Here is a 16,596-nt window from a genome sequence, read left to right as displayed (position 1 = left end):
ACCCACAAAAAAAATTTTTTTTTTAATTTTAATAAAAATGCTGAGGTTGGAGGATCACTTGAGCCTAGATGTTCAAGTTCAGCCTGGGCAACACAGTGAGACACTGTGTCTTAAAAACATAATAAAATTGATAAATTTAAATTTTCGATATTACCTAGTACCTTGTCTGTGTTCAAATTTTGTTGATTGTCTTATAAAGGTCTTTTTATAGGCAGTTTATTTAAATCAGTTTCTGAGTAAGGTTCACAATTACTGTGTCTCTTAAATTTTTTTGTTTCTTTTTAAATAAACTTTACAGAAAAATAATGTATAAAAATTATACTAGTCATAAGCATACAGCATGATGAATTTTAATATACTGATCATTGCTATGTAACAGCACCAAGATAAGGAAACAACATCATTAGTTCTTTTCATGTTCTCTTCTAGTCCTCTCACCCAAAAAGGATCTTGACCTCTAACACCATAAATTGTTTCTATAGAAATGGAATCCTATAGTATGTACCCTTATAGTTTAGTTTGCTCAGTATGTTTTAAGGATTTATCCATTATGTTGTATGATTCCATAATTTTATTCTATTGTATGAGTATGTGCAGTTTATCCATTGTACTCTTGATGGACATTCGGGTTTTTTGCAGGGTTTTGCTATTACATATGTGTTGCTGTGAATTTTCTTATGCTTGTTTTTTAGTGAATTCAAAGTCATAAAATCTATAACAGTTCCTTTTTCCTCTCTTTTGTCTTGCCATTTTCTTGTTGAAGAAATTGGATTATTTCTCCTATTAAAAAAATTCATAGCACTGTTGTAGTAGCAGCCATTATATTTGTTAATATGCAACCTTGAGTCAAAATTGTTCTGTCATCTAAAAAAATTAAGTAAATCATTCAAATAATTTTTAGTGATTTTCCCCCTTTCAAAACCTTTCTACAGTATCTGACTTTTTAACTGTTGCCATGTTACTTTTATAATAATAACATTTTAGAAAAAAAATTTTATGTAATTTACTATTTTGATTGCTTTTAATTTTATAACTATATATTATGTGTTTTAAGTGAAAGTAAATACTAATGTTCTCCTTTGTATATTTCCTTTAATAGGTTTGATATTAAACTGCTCTCAGAATTTTCCTCTTGCCTAGCAGATCAGCATTTGTATTTTAGTCCATTAATGGGAAAAATAGCTGATATTGTTCATAGGAACTTGGAAACCACACAGGACTTAAGGTAAATTTATTTAGGGAATCTTGTGTTGTGGTGGAAAGATCCTGGGCTTTGGATGTGGATGCAGTCAGATTTGCTACTCTTAGTTTATGTGACTTAAGGTTACTTAAGCTCTTGGAAGTTCGTTATCCTCATCTGCAAAAGAGGGATAGTAATAGCTACTTTGCAATATTGCTGTGGGGATTAGACATAAGGTACATAAAGTGTAATACAATATTGTTGAGGTCTGTGGAGGATCTGAGTTTTTACCTATTTGCAAGCTAAGTTTGCCTGCCACATTTTCCTACGTGTGCCGTAGGAAGGCCTGAGACTCCGAGGTCAGAGAGAGGACTTTGTTTTTTATAGCAATAGCAGTAGCAGAGTACCAGAATTTTCTTGTGTTGATTCCCTGAGCTCTCGTTCCCATAATGGGTTGTGATCCAGGAGAGGAGCTCTGAGCTTAGGAAACCTGAATCTTTTATAATAAAGCATGCCTACTCTGCTCCAACAGGAGACATTATCTCTATTCTCCTAGGCTGTTTGCTATGCAAACATCCTTGAAAAGATAGTTCTGAACAAAGGCAGTCAGAAACCCACTGAAAATGGCCTCTGAATAAGTATCTAGAACATAGAAGTTTCTCAGTAATGGATAGTAGGTATTATTATTATATCATGAAGTAAACCCAAGAAGTATTTAAATTAAGTATGAATTCATTGGCCAGGCATGGTGGATCACACCTGTAATCCCAGCACTTTGGGAGGCCGAAGTGGGTGGATCACTTGATGTCAGGAGTTCGAGACCAGCCTGGCCAACATGGCAAAAATCCCATCTCTACAAAAAATACAAAATTAGCTGGGCATGGTGGCGGGCGCCTGTAATCCCAGCTACTCGGGAGGCTGAGGCACAGGAATTACTTGAACCTGGGAGGTGGAGGTTGCAGTGACCTGAGATTGTGCCACTGCACTCCAGCCTGGGCAACAGAGCAAGACTCTGTCTCAAAACAACAATAACAAAAAACGAAAAAAAAACAGTAACAAAACTTGAAACAACAACAACAAAATCCAAAAAAACCAAAAAATAAATTAATAAATAATTAATTTACAATAAATTAATAAATAATTAATTTACAATAAATTAATAAATAATTATTTTACAATAAATTAATAAATAATTATTTTACAATAAATTAATAAATAATTAATTTACAATAAATTAATAAATAATTAATTTACAATAAATTAATGAATAATTAATTTACAATAAATTAATGAATAATTAATTTACAATAAATTAATAATTAATTTATAATAAATTAACAAATAATTGATTTACAATAAATAAATAATTTATAATAAATAATTTACAATAAATTAATAAATAATTATTTTACAATAAATTAATAAATAATTTACAATAAATTAATAAATAATTTACAATAAATTAATAAATAATTTACAATAAATTAATAAATAATTTACAATAAATTAATAAATAATTTATAATGAATAATTAATTTATAATAGATTAATAATTAATTTATAATAGATTAATAATTTATAATGGATTAATTTATAATTAATTTATAAACAAATTCACAAATTTTACATACAATTATGTCTTTTTTATTCTTTCCATCTGGGAATACTTTCTTTTCAGTTTCATAAAGGAGAGTTAATAGTTACATTTGCTGAATGTCAAGGAACTATTAATTTGAAACTAACATTTAAGGAGTTTCTCTGGTTTTCATACCAGTGGTTTGAGGGTTTGTTTTGTTTTTAACATAAGATTACTTACTGTCAATGCTAACCTTCATAATCCAGTACTATGATTGTCTTTGGCGTTTCAGATACAGCTTTTTCTCTCATATTTACAAAGTGATTAGCACTTTGGTAAAATTAAATTATAGTAGTTTCCTGCTCTTCTTGCCCCACTCCACCCTACTTCCCTGCCTTTTTTTTTTTCTTTTGAGATGGAGTCTCCCTCTGTTTCCCTGACTGGAGTGCAATGATGCAACCTCTGCCTCCTGGGTTCAAGCGATTTTCCTGCCTCAGCCTCCTGAGTAGCTGGGATTACAGGTGCTCGCCACCACATCCAGCTAATTTTTATATTTTTAGTGGAGATGGGGTTTCACCATGTTGCCAGGCTGGTCTCAAACTCCTGACCACAAGTGATCTGCCCACCTCGGCCTCCCAAAGTTCTGGGATTACAGGCATGAGCCACCATGCCCAGCCCCTTGCCTTTTTTTTAAAAAAAATACACTTATGTGGCTGGGTGCAGTGGCTCATGCCTGTAATCCCAGCACTTTGGGAGGCTGAGGTGGGAGGATTGCTTAAGCCCAGGAGTTTGAGACCAGCCCTGGCAACATAGCAAGACTCTGTTTCTACAAAAAAAAAAAAAAAAAAAAAAAAGAATTGATCATTCTTAATTGATGTAAAAATCTTTGCATCTTTTTTCTTTTTCAGTTCCTTGTCTGTCTTGATGGTCAACATATCTTCTTTAATATCACGACATTTTCAACAACAACTGGTGAACAAAACAGAACTTCTTTTTGACACCATAGATTCTTCTGAGGTCAACGTTGCAAAAAGCATAGCAAAGTTTCTTCGAAATGTTAGATATCGTTATCAACCACTATTAGAAAGATGTAATAACGTATTTTTAAGTAATGTGGACCACCTTGATTTGGATTCCATCAGTAAAATACTTAGTGTATACAAATTTCTACAATTTAATAGTTTTGAATTTATTATAATGGCTAAAAAGAAGCTAACTGAAATGATTCCTCTGTGTAATCATCCTGCTAGCTTTGTAAAATTGTTTGTAGCATTGGGACCCATTGCAGGACCTGAAGAAAAGAAACAGTAAGTTCAGTTTAAAATGCATTACTTTTTTTGTTGTGAATACGTGGAGCCTTCAAGCTTAGGTCTCCTTGCAGCTCTGGAAGGTACAAATATCACCCTATTAGGTTGTGGAAGGGAAAATAATCTCTTATGCTCTGCTCCTTGATTCTTTTTCTGATTATTCTAATTTACATCTCAAACTCTTAGTCTGTTGCTGTGTTCTGAAAGGTAAACCTCTGATACTGGGCCAACATGAAAAAAAATGAGGGGAAACGCCATGTGTTTTTATTCTCCCTTTTGTGCTACATGACTGGATTTACACATATAAGACTCCCCCACCCAGTGTAAGTCTGTGGAATATTTAGAATTATAGTAGTCATAGCAGAGGGCCATTTTATGCTTTGCTGTCTTCATCACAATAATCATCAAAGCATTTATTATGCACTGGGCATATGTTCCCATGTCAGGTTTGAGCAAATTTTGTGTGGCGCCTCTCATTTAGGAATTTCCAGTTTTGCTAGATACTGATGTAGGTAGTAATATTTGAAATATAATGATGAGCAAATATTAAATTAACATACAAATACGGTTAATAGATAAGAGTTTCTCTTCCTAGGCCATGTGACTGGATTTATACTAGACATAAACTTCCCCCACCCAGCATAATTGTATGAAATATTTAGAATTACAAGCTGGGCACGGCGTTGCACGCCTTTAATCCCATCACTTTGGGAGGCCGAGGCAGGTGGATCCCTGGATCCCAGGAATTTGAGACCAGCCTAGGCAAGATGATGAAACCTTGTCTGTACAAAAAAATACAAAATTAGCCAGATGTGGTGGTGCCCACCTAGATTCCCAGCTACTCATGAGGATCACCTGAGCCCAAGGAGGTTGAGCCTGCAGTGAACTGACATTGCGCCATTGAATTCCAGCCTGGGCACAGAATGAAACCTTGTCTCAAAAGAAAAAATAAAAGAAAAAAATAAGAATTTTATATAATAGTCCTAACACATAAGTATGATTAGTAGATTCACTTAAGCAGGGGTTCCAAGACTTGCACAATAGGGGAATCTGTATCATTACTCTGTTAGGGAAAACTTTACGGAGAAAGTTTTATTTTTTAAGAGTACTTTGTGGCTGGGTGCGGTGGATCATGCCTGTAATCCCAGCACTTTGGGAGGCCAAGGCAGGTGGATCACCTGAGGTCGGGAGTTCAAGACCACCCAGACCAACATGGAGGAACCCCGTCTCTACTAAAAATACAAGATAAGTCGGGCATGATGGCAGCGCCTGTAGTCCCAGCTACTCGGGAGGCTGAGGCAGGAGAATCGCTTGAACCCGGGAGGTGCAGGTTGCAGTAAGCCAAGATCGCGCCATTACACTCCAGCCTGGGCAACAAGAGCGAAACTCTGACTCAAAAAAAAAAAAAAAGTACTTTGAATTATATGAAAAAATTTAAGAGCACATCTTAAGACTATATCAAGATGGAAACAAGGTGATTATTAAAAAAAACTATTGGGGCCCAGCACGGTGGTTCACACCTGTAATCTCAGCACTTTGGGAGGCCAATGCTGGCAGATCACTTGAAGTCGGGAGTTTGAGACCAGCCTGGCCAACATGGTGAAACCCCGACTCTACTAAAAATACAAAAAAAAAGGGCCGGGTGTGGTGGCTCATGCCTGTTATCCCAGCACCTTGGGAGGCTGAGGCGGTTGGATCACTTGAGGTCAGGAGTTCGAGACCAGCCTGGCCAACATGGTGAAACCCCGTTTCTAGTAAAAATATAAAAAATTAGCCGGGCGTGGTGGTGGGCACCTGTAATCTCAGCTACTTGGGAGGCTGAGGCAGGAGAATCGCTTGAACCTGGGAGACTGAGGTTGCAGTGAGCCAGGATTGCGCCATTGCACTCCAGCCTGGGCAACAGGAGCGAAACTCTGTCTCAAAAAACAAACAAAAAAATACAAAAAATAATTAGCCGGGAGTGATGGCAGGTGCAATGGTGGGCATCTCTAATCCCAGCTACTCTGGAGGCTGAGGCAGGAGAATCGCTTGAACCTGGGAGGCGGAGGTTGCAGTGAGCTATCATGCTCCTGCACTCCAGCCTGGGCAACAGAGTGAGACTCCATCTCAAAACAGACGAAGAAACACACACACGAACAAACTTTATTGGAACCGTTTTTTGTCACCAAGTACTGTTAAAATCTCAGTGCTAAAGCAATAAAACAGTTGGGTTTAACTGAGTCTGTCTTCAAGGAATTTATATTGCAATTGAGAGGATAGATATAATTGAAATATGTAAATACTGTAACAACATAGTTTATGAAGAAACAATAAAATTAGTGATATGGATAGTGCTGTGAGCAGACAGAAGTGAGAGAAAAATATAGACTGAAGTGGTTGGGAAAAGTTTGTGGAGAAACTGGGTTTGAAACCTTTGAAAAGGTTGGTGGAAAGGATGGCATGGAGTTATCCATGTGAATAGACAATTAGTTTATCCTATCAGATGTCACGTTTCGAGCTTGCTTTCTAAATGATTCTAAAAAATACACGTATCATGGTACTTAACATTACTGCACTACTTTGGATAGTTCAAATGACAACTAATCATAGTCAAAATGGACCAGCTTTGTTAATTTTCAGTTTATACTGTTATATCAAGTGCTTAGTATATGAGATTTCTGATAATATGCAGGTTTATTGACTCCTAGATGTTCCTATTCAGTTTTAAAACATTTGGGAAATTGTCAGAATATCAACTGTTCATTTCTTAGCTCTCTAGTATTGAATAATTTCACTGAATCATAGTATTTTATAACCATTATAACCTTGTATTATTTGAAAATCTTAAAATATCTTTTACCTGTATTTTTCAAACAGTTTAAGATTGGATTATAATGAGGCCTGAATTTCATTGAAGAAGACAATATATTTTTCTTTATTCAGTAATATTTTATATTCGAGTAATGTGGGGAGAACACTAGAATTATATATTGGATTCAGTTTTTGTTTATATTTTTTTTCCTATTTGTTACCCAAGAACTGTTATTTAAAAAAAATTGCAAGCTAATTTTCAGTCTTTCAACCAAAAACTTTTTTTTTTTTGCTTCTAGACTTAAATCAACTATGTTATTGATGTCAGAGGACCTAACTGGCGAGCAAGCCCTGGCAGTGTTGGGAGCAATGGGAGATATGGAAAGCAGAAACTCATGTCTGATTAAAAGGTATCTTTTCTGAAATTTACGACGTTAAGTTTGTTGTCATTCACAAGCACCTATTTTTTTCTAAGGAAAAATGGTTTTCTTCTTTAATCTACCAGTTGTTTTGAAGAAATAAGGAATTAATGCTTAAGCCACTGTTTATGTTCTACTTTGTTTTTCTTTTCTTTTTTTTTTTGTTTTTTTGAGACAGAGTCTCACTCTGTTGCCCAGGCTGGAGTGCAGTGGCACTATCTCTGCTTACTGCAACCTCTGCTTCCCTGGTTCAAGCAATTCTCTTGCCTCAGCCTCCTGAGTAGCTGGGACTACAGGCGCCCACCACCATGCCCCAGCTAATTTTGTTTGTTTGTTTGTTTGTTTGTTTTTGAGACAGAGTCTTGCTCTGTTGCCCAGGCTTGAGTGCAGTGGTGCCATCTCGGCTCACTGCAACCTCTGCCCCAGACGGGTTCAAGCGATTCTCCTGTCTCAGCCTCCTGAGTAGCCCGGATTACAGGCGTGTGCCACCACGCCTGGCTAATTTTTGTATTTTTTAGTAGAAGCGGGGTTTCACTGTGTTGGCCAGGCTGGTCTGGAGCTCCTGACCTCAAGTGATCCACCCACCTCAACCTCCCAGAGTGCTGGGATTACAGGCCTGAGCCACCGCACCCAGCCCTCCAGGCTGGTCTTGAACTCCTGACCTCAAGTGATCCGTTCACTTCGGCATCCCAAAGTGTTGAGCCACTGTGCCTGGCCGTTTTTTTTTTTGTTTTTTTTTTTTGAGACAGGGTATGGCTCTGTTGCTGAGGCTAGAGTGCAGTGGTGCCATCACAACTCACTGCACCCTCCACCTCCCAGGCTCAATTGATCCTCTCATCTCAGCCTCCTGAGTACCTGGGACTACAGGCACGTGTCGCCATGCCCACTAATTTTTGTATTTTTTGTAGACATGGTGTTTTGCCATGTTACCCAGGCTGGTCTCCAACTCCTGGGCTCAAGGAATCCATCCGCCTCAGCCTCCCAAAGTGCTGGTTTGTTTTTCAAAGTAGAAATGACAATTGTTTATAGCTTTTTCATTTTATTTGTGCTATTACACTCAAGCAGAGCATCATAACCTTGTAAAATAGAGAGCATAAAGACCCTCCTTTTATTTTTTTCTTTTCTTTTTGTTTTCTTACTTTTCTTTCTTAGTTTTAAAATTTTTTGTAGAGATAGGGTCTTACTATTTTGCCCAGTCTGATCTTGAACTCCTGGGCTCAAGCAGTTCTCCCAAAATTACCACCAAGGCTGTAATTTTCAAAAGGAAAGTTTCTGCAGCACAGTCAATGTCTATATGAACTTGAATTGTCTCACACCACAATGTTACCTTGAAGTCATACTGCCATTTGTTGGCTTTTTGGTAACTTGAGATTTCAGAAGAAAAAATATATACTTACATTTTTACATATGCTTAATTGTACATGCCTAATTTTTCATGACCTATTATATGTTCCTTTATTTTAATATTTCTTTGTCCCATTTTTTTCCAACTTACTGCCTCTTAGCATTTCCCTTTGCTTTTAAGCATCTTCATTTGAGGGCCAGTGGATTTACGGAAGAAAATTAAATTAGTTTTGCTAATTATTGGTAACTCTTGGTAAAGATTTTGTTATGGGGAGGATGTGGAAGTTGATGCTGTGTGAGATTTGTTTAACTGAGGAAGAAAAACTATGCTTTTCTCTTCTTGTACTATTGATAAGTGAATGTTATTTCATTCACACTTAATTGATTGCTTTTACTTCATTCTGTTTTAGTTGTTTACATTTCTAGAGCCACCTTGAGACATTTCTTCAAGAATAGAGAATCTCATCTCATTCATTGCCGTTTCTCCAGCACAGAACGGAGTGTCTGGTGTGAAAGCACCATAGTAAATGTGTAATAAATGAATGAACTGGTTATAATATATGCTCTATCCTTTTTAGAGTTACTTCAGTTCTGCATAAACATTTGGATGGCTATAAACCATTAGAGTTGTTGAAGATAACTCAAGAATTAACTTTTCTGCATTTCCAAAGGAAGGAGTTTTTTGCGAAACTTAGAGAATTACTGCTTAGGTAAGATTAAAATAGAAATTTTGTTTAGTGTTTCATTTTCTAGCCACAATATTTGTTTTGTTTAACTATGTACAGTGGTGCTAGAAGTTATGGAGGCAAAATTGTGAAGCTTATTAGTAAAAATGTTAAGACACTATCTCCCTCCGTGGCCATTCTGCCAGTGCCCATGCTGGGTATATTTTGAAACGGAAATGAGGCCAGCAGGGTGATGAGTTCCCTAGGGGAGGAATGGCAATAAACTGATGAATAGCAAAGCCATTCTCCTTTCCTGCAAAATGGAGTCACCATGAAAAGATTGGGACTGCTGACGAAAGTTAAACTCCATTTGGGAGCATTCATATTTAGGGCCTTTCGGTCTTGCATTCATGCCTATTTTAAGGCTTATTAAATTTTTGAGAATAAGACATAATGGTGATGTTGGGGAAAAAGTGTTTTATTTTCTTTTCCTCTTTTTTTTTTTGAGATGGAGTCTCACTTTGTTGCCCAGGCTGGAGTGCAGTGGAGCAATCTTGGCTCACTGCAACCTCCGCCTCCCCAGTTCAAGCAATTCTCCTGCCTCAGCCTCCCGAGTAGCTGGGAATACAGGCACATACCACCACACCCTGTTAATTTTTGTAATTTTAGTAGAGATGGGATTTCACTGTATTGGTCAGGCTGGTTTCGAACTCCTGACCTCAGGTGATCCACCTGCCTGAGCCTCCCAAAGTGTTGGGATTACAGATGTGAGCCACCATGCCCAGCGAAAAAGTGTTTTCATGTAGAATTTTCCCTTTATAATTTAAAATCACCTTATTTTCTACAGATGTATCTTTTTTTTTTTTTTTTTTTTTTTTTTTTTTTTTTTTAGAGACAGGGTCTCACTCTGTCCCCTGGGCTGGAGTGCAGTGGTGCAATCATAGCTCACGGCAGCCAATCATAACTTGCTGTAGCCTCGAAGTCCTGGGCTGAAGTGATCCTCCCGCCTCAGCCTCCCAAGTAGTAGTGCTACCAAACTTGGCTAATTTTTTTTTTTTTTGTAGAGATGGGGGTCTCACTTTGTTGCCCAAGCTGGAGTGCAGTGGCATGATCATAGCTTACCACATCTTCAAACTCACGGGCTCAAGCAATCCTACCACCTCAGCCTCCTGAGTAGCTGGTTTTACAGGCTTGAACCAGCATGCCCATCTAGTTTGATTTCTTACCGTTATTTATTTATTTTTTTTGAGATGGAGTCTCGCTCTGTCGCCCAGGCTGGAGTGCAGTGGCACGATCTCAGCTCACTGCAAGCTCTGCCACCCGGGTTCACGCCATTCTCCTGCCTCAGCCTCCTGAGCAGCTGGGACTACAGGTGCCCGCCGCCACACCCGGCTAATTTTTTGTATTTTTTTTTTAGTAGAGATGGGGTTTCACTGTGTTAGCCAGGATGGTCTCGATCTTCTGACCCCGTGGTCTGCCCGCCTCAGCCTCCCAAAGTGCCGGGATTACAGGCGTGAGCCACTGCGCCCGGCCTGATTTTTTACTGTGATTTCTGAAAGACCAAGCATATAGTTGAAAATGATTTTTATTATAATAAAGTGATATGCCATTATGGTTAAAAAGGTTTTGAACTGAGTAATATGAAATAACATGTTATCAGATGAGAATTTAGCGTATTAGGATGTTATAAGAAAGTTTATCTTTTTCTTGAAAAATAATTTTCTTCTTAAGATGGTAAGATGATAAGATGCTTATTGTTTCTTCACCCTTTCCATATTTAGTCCAGAATTTCACATAGACTACCTCTCAATTATGAATTTTATGTTCTAAATTAGAAATGATACACTAGCCCAGGCATGATTTATGTCTGCACAGTGGGTTTTTTTTTTTTTTTTTTGCATGCTTTTAAAAAATTTTCTATATTTTTATGTTTTTATTTATTTTTATTTTTGTATTTGTTGTTTTTTGAGATGCAGTCTCGCCCTGTCACCCAGGCTGCAGTAGAGCATGATCTCGGCTCACTGCAACCTCCGCCTCCCAGGTTCAAGCGATTTTCCTGTCAGCCTCCCAAGTAGCTGAGATTACAGGCATGAGGCACCATGCCTGGCTAATTTTTGTATTTTTGGTAGAGACTAGGTTTCACCATGTTGGCCAGGCTTATCTTGATCTCCTGACCTCAAGTGATCCGCCTGCTTTGGCCTCCGAAAGTGCTGGGATTACAAGCATGAGCCACTGCACCTGGCCTATGTTTTATGTTTTTAAGAAATATTTCAGTAGCTTTTGGGGTACAAGTGGTTTTTTGTTACATGGATGAATTGTATAGTGGTGAATTCTGAGATTTTAAGTGCACCTGTCACCTGAGTAATGTACTTAGTACCTAATGTGTTGTTTTTTTGTCCCTAGCTTGCCTACCAACCTCCCTTTTCTGAGTCTCTAACGTCCATTATATATCACTCTGTATGCCTTTGCGTACTCATAGCTTAGCTCCCACTTGTAAGTGAAAGTATACAATTTTTTATTTTCCCCTCCTGTGTTACTTCACTTAGTATAATGGCCTTCAGCTCCACCCAAGTTGCTGAAAAGACATTATTGTGTTCCTTTTAATGGCTGATTAAAGGTGTATTAAATATACACCATGATATCCATGGTGTATATTTACCACATTTTCTTTATGCACTTATTAGTCAATGGGCATTTAGGTTGGTTAACATCTTTGCAGTTGTCAATTGTGCTGCTGTAAACATACATTGCAGTGTTTTTTAAAAAAATTAAATTATTCAGTACTGATGAATACTTCTAGGTATGTTAACAGAAAAATAAGAGCAGGAGTGGGAGCATCAAAGAAGATTTCATTTTCCTGTAATGTTTTGTTGCTTTTATGAAAAGACTTGAAGCACGTATGATAATGTTAAAGCTTATTAAATTCTGAGTAAGGAGAGCCTTTATGTATCTCTGTAGTTTAAAATTATATCAAAAGTGTTTGAGTTACTAACATTTGAAAGTTTGGTGTTGTTATATAAAAATCATAGGCACTTCATGTTTCAGAATTACCTTCTTCCACTTCAGTGCAGATAATCTGAAGTAGATATTAGAAGGAATGTAGTCTATTTGAACTAATAATTTACATAAATTCTTATGTAAATAGGTCCTAGGTCCTGAAACAGCTCAAAGAACCCAGAGTTTTCATGTACTGGAATAATGTCTGTTGTTGTTTTTTAACTTATTGAAATATAATCTACATAAAATATACATTTGCCTTCCTCATTACCCTGTCCTCACCTCCAAGATTAACTATCTCTATTTGTAACTGCATGGATTGGTTTTGCCTTTATACTTTATATAAATGGAATCATTAGTATGATTTCCTTTATTTTTTGAGATAGGGTCTCATTCGTTTTCCCAGGCTGGAGTACAGTGGCGTGATCTCGGCTCACTGCAACCTCAAGTGACCTCAAGTGACCCTCCTGCCTCAGCCTCCTGAGTAGCTGGGACTACAGGCACGTGCTACCACACCCAGCTACTTTTTGTATTTTTAGTAGAGATGGGGTTTTGCCATGTTGCCCAGGCTGGTCCCAAACTCCTGTGCTCAAGTAATCTGCCTGCCTTGGCCTCCTGAAGTGCTGGGGTTACAGGCATGAGCCACTGCGCCTGGTCAGTGTGATTTCTTTTGTGTCAGGCTTCTTTTGCTCAATACTAAGTTTATGAGATTTGTTTATGCTTTTGTCTTATAGTATTCTCTTGTAAGAATATAACAAAATTTATTTATTTATTCTATTGTTGATGGATATTCGATTTATTTCCAGTTTTTGGTTATTATCAGCAGTACTGTTTATGAACAAATTCATGTATATTTTTTAGTGAACATACATATTCATTTCTGTGTGCCAGCGAGTGTAATCATTGGTTCATAGGGTATGCATGTCCTCATCTTCAGTAGATGCTGCTGAACATTTTCTAAAGTGGTTTTACCAATCCCTACTCCCACTAACAGAATGTACACATTCCTATTGCTCCATATCCGTGCCAACACTCGATATTTTTTTACTTTTTTTCCCCTATAACCCAGGACAGTGCTCATGCTTTTTAATTTGAGCTGTTCTGGTGGGTATGTTGTGGTATTATAAATAAATATACGCAAATATCTAAGCTTTGACAATTGAGGAGGTATCACAAGGAAAAACACCAAGTGGAGGTTGGAGAAATTGTATCTGTTGGGGGTTTATTTGTAGAAAAGTATCTCAAGATTGGTAGCTCCACAATGATGCAGCTTTTTGAAGGCTTTCATTTCTTAATATAAAATAGTGTATTAATTTTTTGTGGTTATAAGAATAAAATATGCAGTACTAACTAAGTGCCTGGTTGTGTCAGGCACTGGGCCAAATATATAAAAATCATTTTGAAAATTTTGGAAAACAGAAAAAAGTATATTTGAGAGGCTGAGGCAGGAGGATCATTTGAGGCCAGGAATTCAAGACCGGTGTGTTCAACATAGCAAGCCTCTGTCTCTACAAAAAACTAAAGAATTAGCAGGGTGTAGTAGTTCATGCCTGTAGTCCTAGCTACTCAGGAGGCTGAGGCGGGAGGATCACTTGAGCCCAGGACCTCAAGCTTACAGTGAACTATGATCATGCCACAGCACTCCAGCCTGGGCTATAGAGTGAGACCCTATCTCTAAAAAAGAAAAGAAAGGAAAAAAATATAAAGAAGAAAATAAAAATTATTCATAAACTCATTCATCCACTGTCAACAATATAGTTTATTTCCTTGTTGTATACTACATATATGTATTTTTTTTCCTAGTTGACCATACAATTTTGTTTGTTTGTTTTTGGCCATTTTACCTTGTACATCATTAAGAACTACATCATTAAGAACTTTTTGTAAATCTTTTATAATGGCTGGTTGATACCCATCATATGACTGTACCATAATTCACTTATTACTATTCCCCCTCATTATTTAGATTGTTTTCACATTTTAGCCATGTAAAAAATATGATAAGGCATGGTGGTGTGCACCTGTATCCCAGCTACACCCAGCTATGTTTGGGAAGCCGAGGCAGGAGGATCACTTGAGCCCAAGAGTTGGAGATCAGCCTGGGAAACATCGTAAGACTCCCTCTTAAAAGAAAAAAAAAGATGAATAACAACACACATCTTTTACCTGGATTTTATATTAGTTTATTAGGTTAGTTTCCCAGACAGGGATTGACCATGTCAAATGATAAAATTAAAATACTTTTAAAGTTTTCAAAGCCGTACTGCTAAATTACTTTCCAGGAAGTTACACCAACTTTTTAAGTTTACTAATAGTGAATGAGAATGCCTGTATCAGTACACCCTTGCTAACACTGAGTATTAATATTACGATTATTTTAGTATGCTAATTTAAATATTTTAAATGGCCAGGCATAGTGGCTCATGCTTGTAATCCCAGGACTTTGGGAGACTGAGCTGGGAGGATTGTTTGAGCCCAGGAGTTCAAGACCAGCCTGGGCAATAAAGCAAGACCCTGTCTCCACAACAAAAAACAAAAAATTAGCTGGGCGTGGTGGCATGTACCTATATCCCCAGTGTGTAGAGAGGCTGAGGCAGGAGGAGTACTTGAGCCCAGGAGGTCAAGGCTGCAATGAGCTATATTACGCCACTGCCCTCTAGCCTGGGCAACAGAGTGAGACCCTGTCTCCAGAAAAAAATTAATTTAAAAAATATTTTAAAAGTAACTCAATGTATTTATTTATTTATTTTTATTTTTAATTTTTTTTTGAGATGGAGTTTCGCTCTTGTTGCCCAGGCTGGAGTGCAGTGGCACAATCTCGGCTCACCGCAACCTCCGCCTCCCAGGTTCAACCGATTCTCCTGCCTCAGCCGCCCGAGTAGCTGGGATTACAGCGCATTACATGCGCCACCCCACCTGGCTAACTTTTTTGTATTTTTAGTAGAGACGGGGTTTTTCCATGTTGGTTAGGCTGGTCTCGAACTCCCGACCTCAGGTAATCCGCCCACCTCGGCCTCCCAAAGGGATGGGATTACAGGCGTGAGCCACCACGCCCAGCTATTTATTTAATTTTTTGAGATGGAGTCTCGCTCTGTCGCCCAGGCTGGAGTGCAGTGGTGCCATCTCGGCTCACTGCAAGCTCCGCCTCCCGGGTTCACGCCATTCTCCTGTCTCAGCCTCCTGAGTAGCTGGGACTACAGGCACCCACCACCATGCCCGGCTAACTCTTTTTTGTATTTTTAGTAGAGACGGTGTTTCACCATGTTAGCCAGAATGGTCTCGATCTCCTGACCTCGTGATCTGCCCGCCTTGGCCTCCCAAAGTGCTGGGATTACAGGAGTGAGCTACCGCGCCCAGCCTCAATTTTGTTTTAATTTAGATTGTATTATTCCTTCCACTACTTCTATACCTAAAGTTTTTTTTTTTTTTTTTTTTTTTTTGAGGCGGAGTCTTGCTCTGTCACCCAGGCTGGAGTGCAGTGGCGTGATCTCGGCTCACTGCAACCTCCGCCTCCCGGGTTCAAGCGATTCTCATGCCTTAGCCTCCCCAGTAGCTAGGATTACAGGCATGTGCCACCACGCCCGGCTAATTTTTTGTATTTTCAGTAGAGATGGGGTTTCATTATGTTGGCCAGGCTAGTCTCGAACTTCTGAGCTCAAGCTATCCCCCGCCTTGGCCTCTCAAAATGCTGGAATTAAAGGTGTGAGCCACCATGCCCGGCCCCAGTTTTTCAATTTTTTTTTTTTTTTTTAACAATTATTGTCCTGGTGGTGGGACTCTTGCCATGGGGATTTCGGAATGAAGTAGAGAATGAGGTCAACTATGTCCTGTTTCTTTTGTTGTTGTTTGTTTATTCATTTGTTTTAAATGTTGGACTGTGTATCGGAAACAAAAAAGGAACCAATTTTATTACGTGATCACTGCATGCCAGGGCCTGACAGGTGATATCAGAAATTGAACCCAAGTTCTTTCTTCAGCGACAGCACTGGAAACATTGTTCTGACATGGACCTTTTGTTTCCCTGGGACTGTGGTTTTATTTTTGAATAAAAAATTTTGGCCTGTGCTTCAGAACAGGTCTTCCTGTTTTATTCCTTTATTCCTTCCACTATTTCTATACTTAAAGATTTTTTTTTCTTTTCTTTTCTTTTTGTTTTTGTTTTGTTTTTTTTTTTTTGAGACGGAGGGCATCAGGAAGTCTTAGGCTTTCCTGAATAATCCTTTATGGACCTGTCATCTTTGAATTTATCAAACTCTTTTTTTTTTTTTTTTTTTTTTTTTTTTTTTTGAGATGGAGTCTTCCTCTGTCGCCCAGGCTG

The 16,596-nt window shown here is 38.1% G+C and overlaps 1 protein-coding gene across 13 annotated transcripts in view; it reads left to right on the top strand.

Annotated features, from left to right (window-relative positions):
• FASTKD1 (FAST kinase domains 1) overlaps positions 1–16,596 on the top strand; it is a 45,358-nt gene that overhangs the window by 9,416 nt on the left and 19,346 nt on the right. For 11 of the 13 annotated variants that reach the window (NR_104020.3, NM_001322048.2, NM_001322049.2 and 8 more), the window contains 4 exons: positions 1,100–1,225; positions 3,665–4,063; positions 7,153–7,263; positions 9,195–9,326. Coding sequence is in view for 12 of the 13 variants with exons in the window: in NM_001322048.2 (NP_001308977.1) it covers positions 1,100–1,225; positions 3,665–4,063; positions 7,153–7,263; positions 9,195–9,326 (768 nt within the window). In the remaining variant the exon portion in view is untranslated. The other 2 variants (XM_017004912.3, XM_006712751.5) reach the window with 1 other exon arrangement.

The sequence above is a fragment of the Homo sapiens genome, chromosome 2, assembly GCF_000001405.40.
Source record: "Homo sapiens chromosome 2, GRCh38.p14 Primary Assembly".
Taxonomy (NCBI): domain Eukaryota; kingdom Metazoa; phylum Chordata; class Mammalia; order Primates; family Hominidae; genus Homo; species Homo sapiens.
The sequence above is the reverse complement of the archived record's forward strand: the minus strand, read 5'-3'. Positions and strand labels throughout refer to the sequence as shown.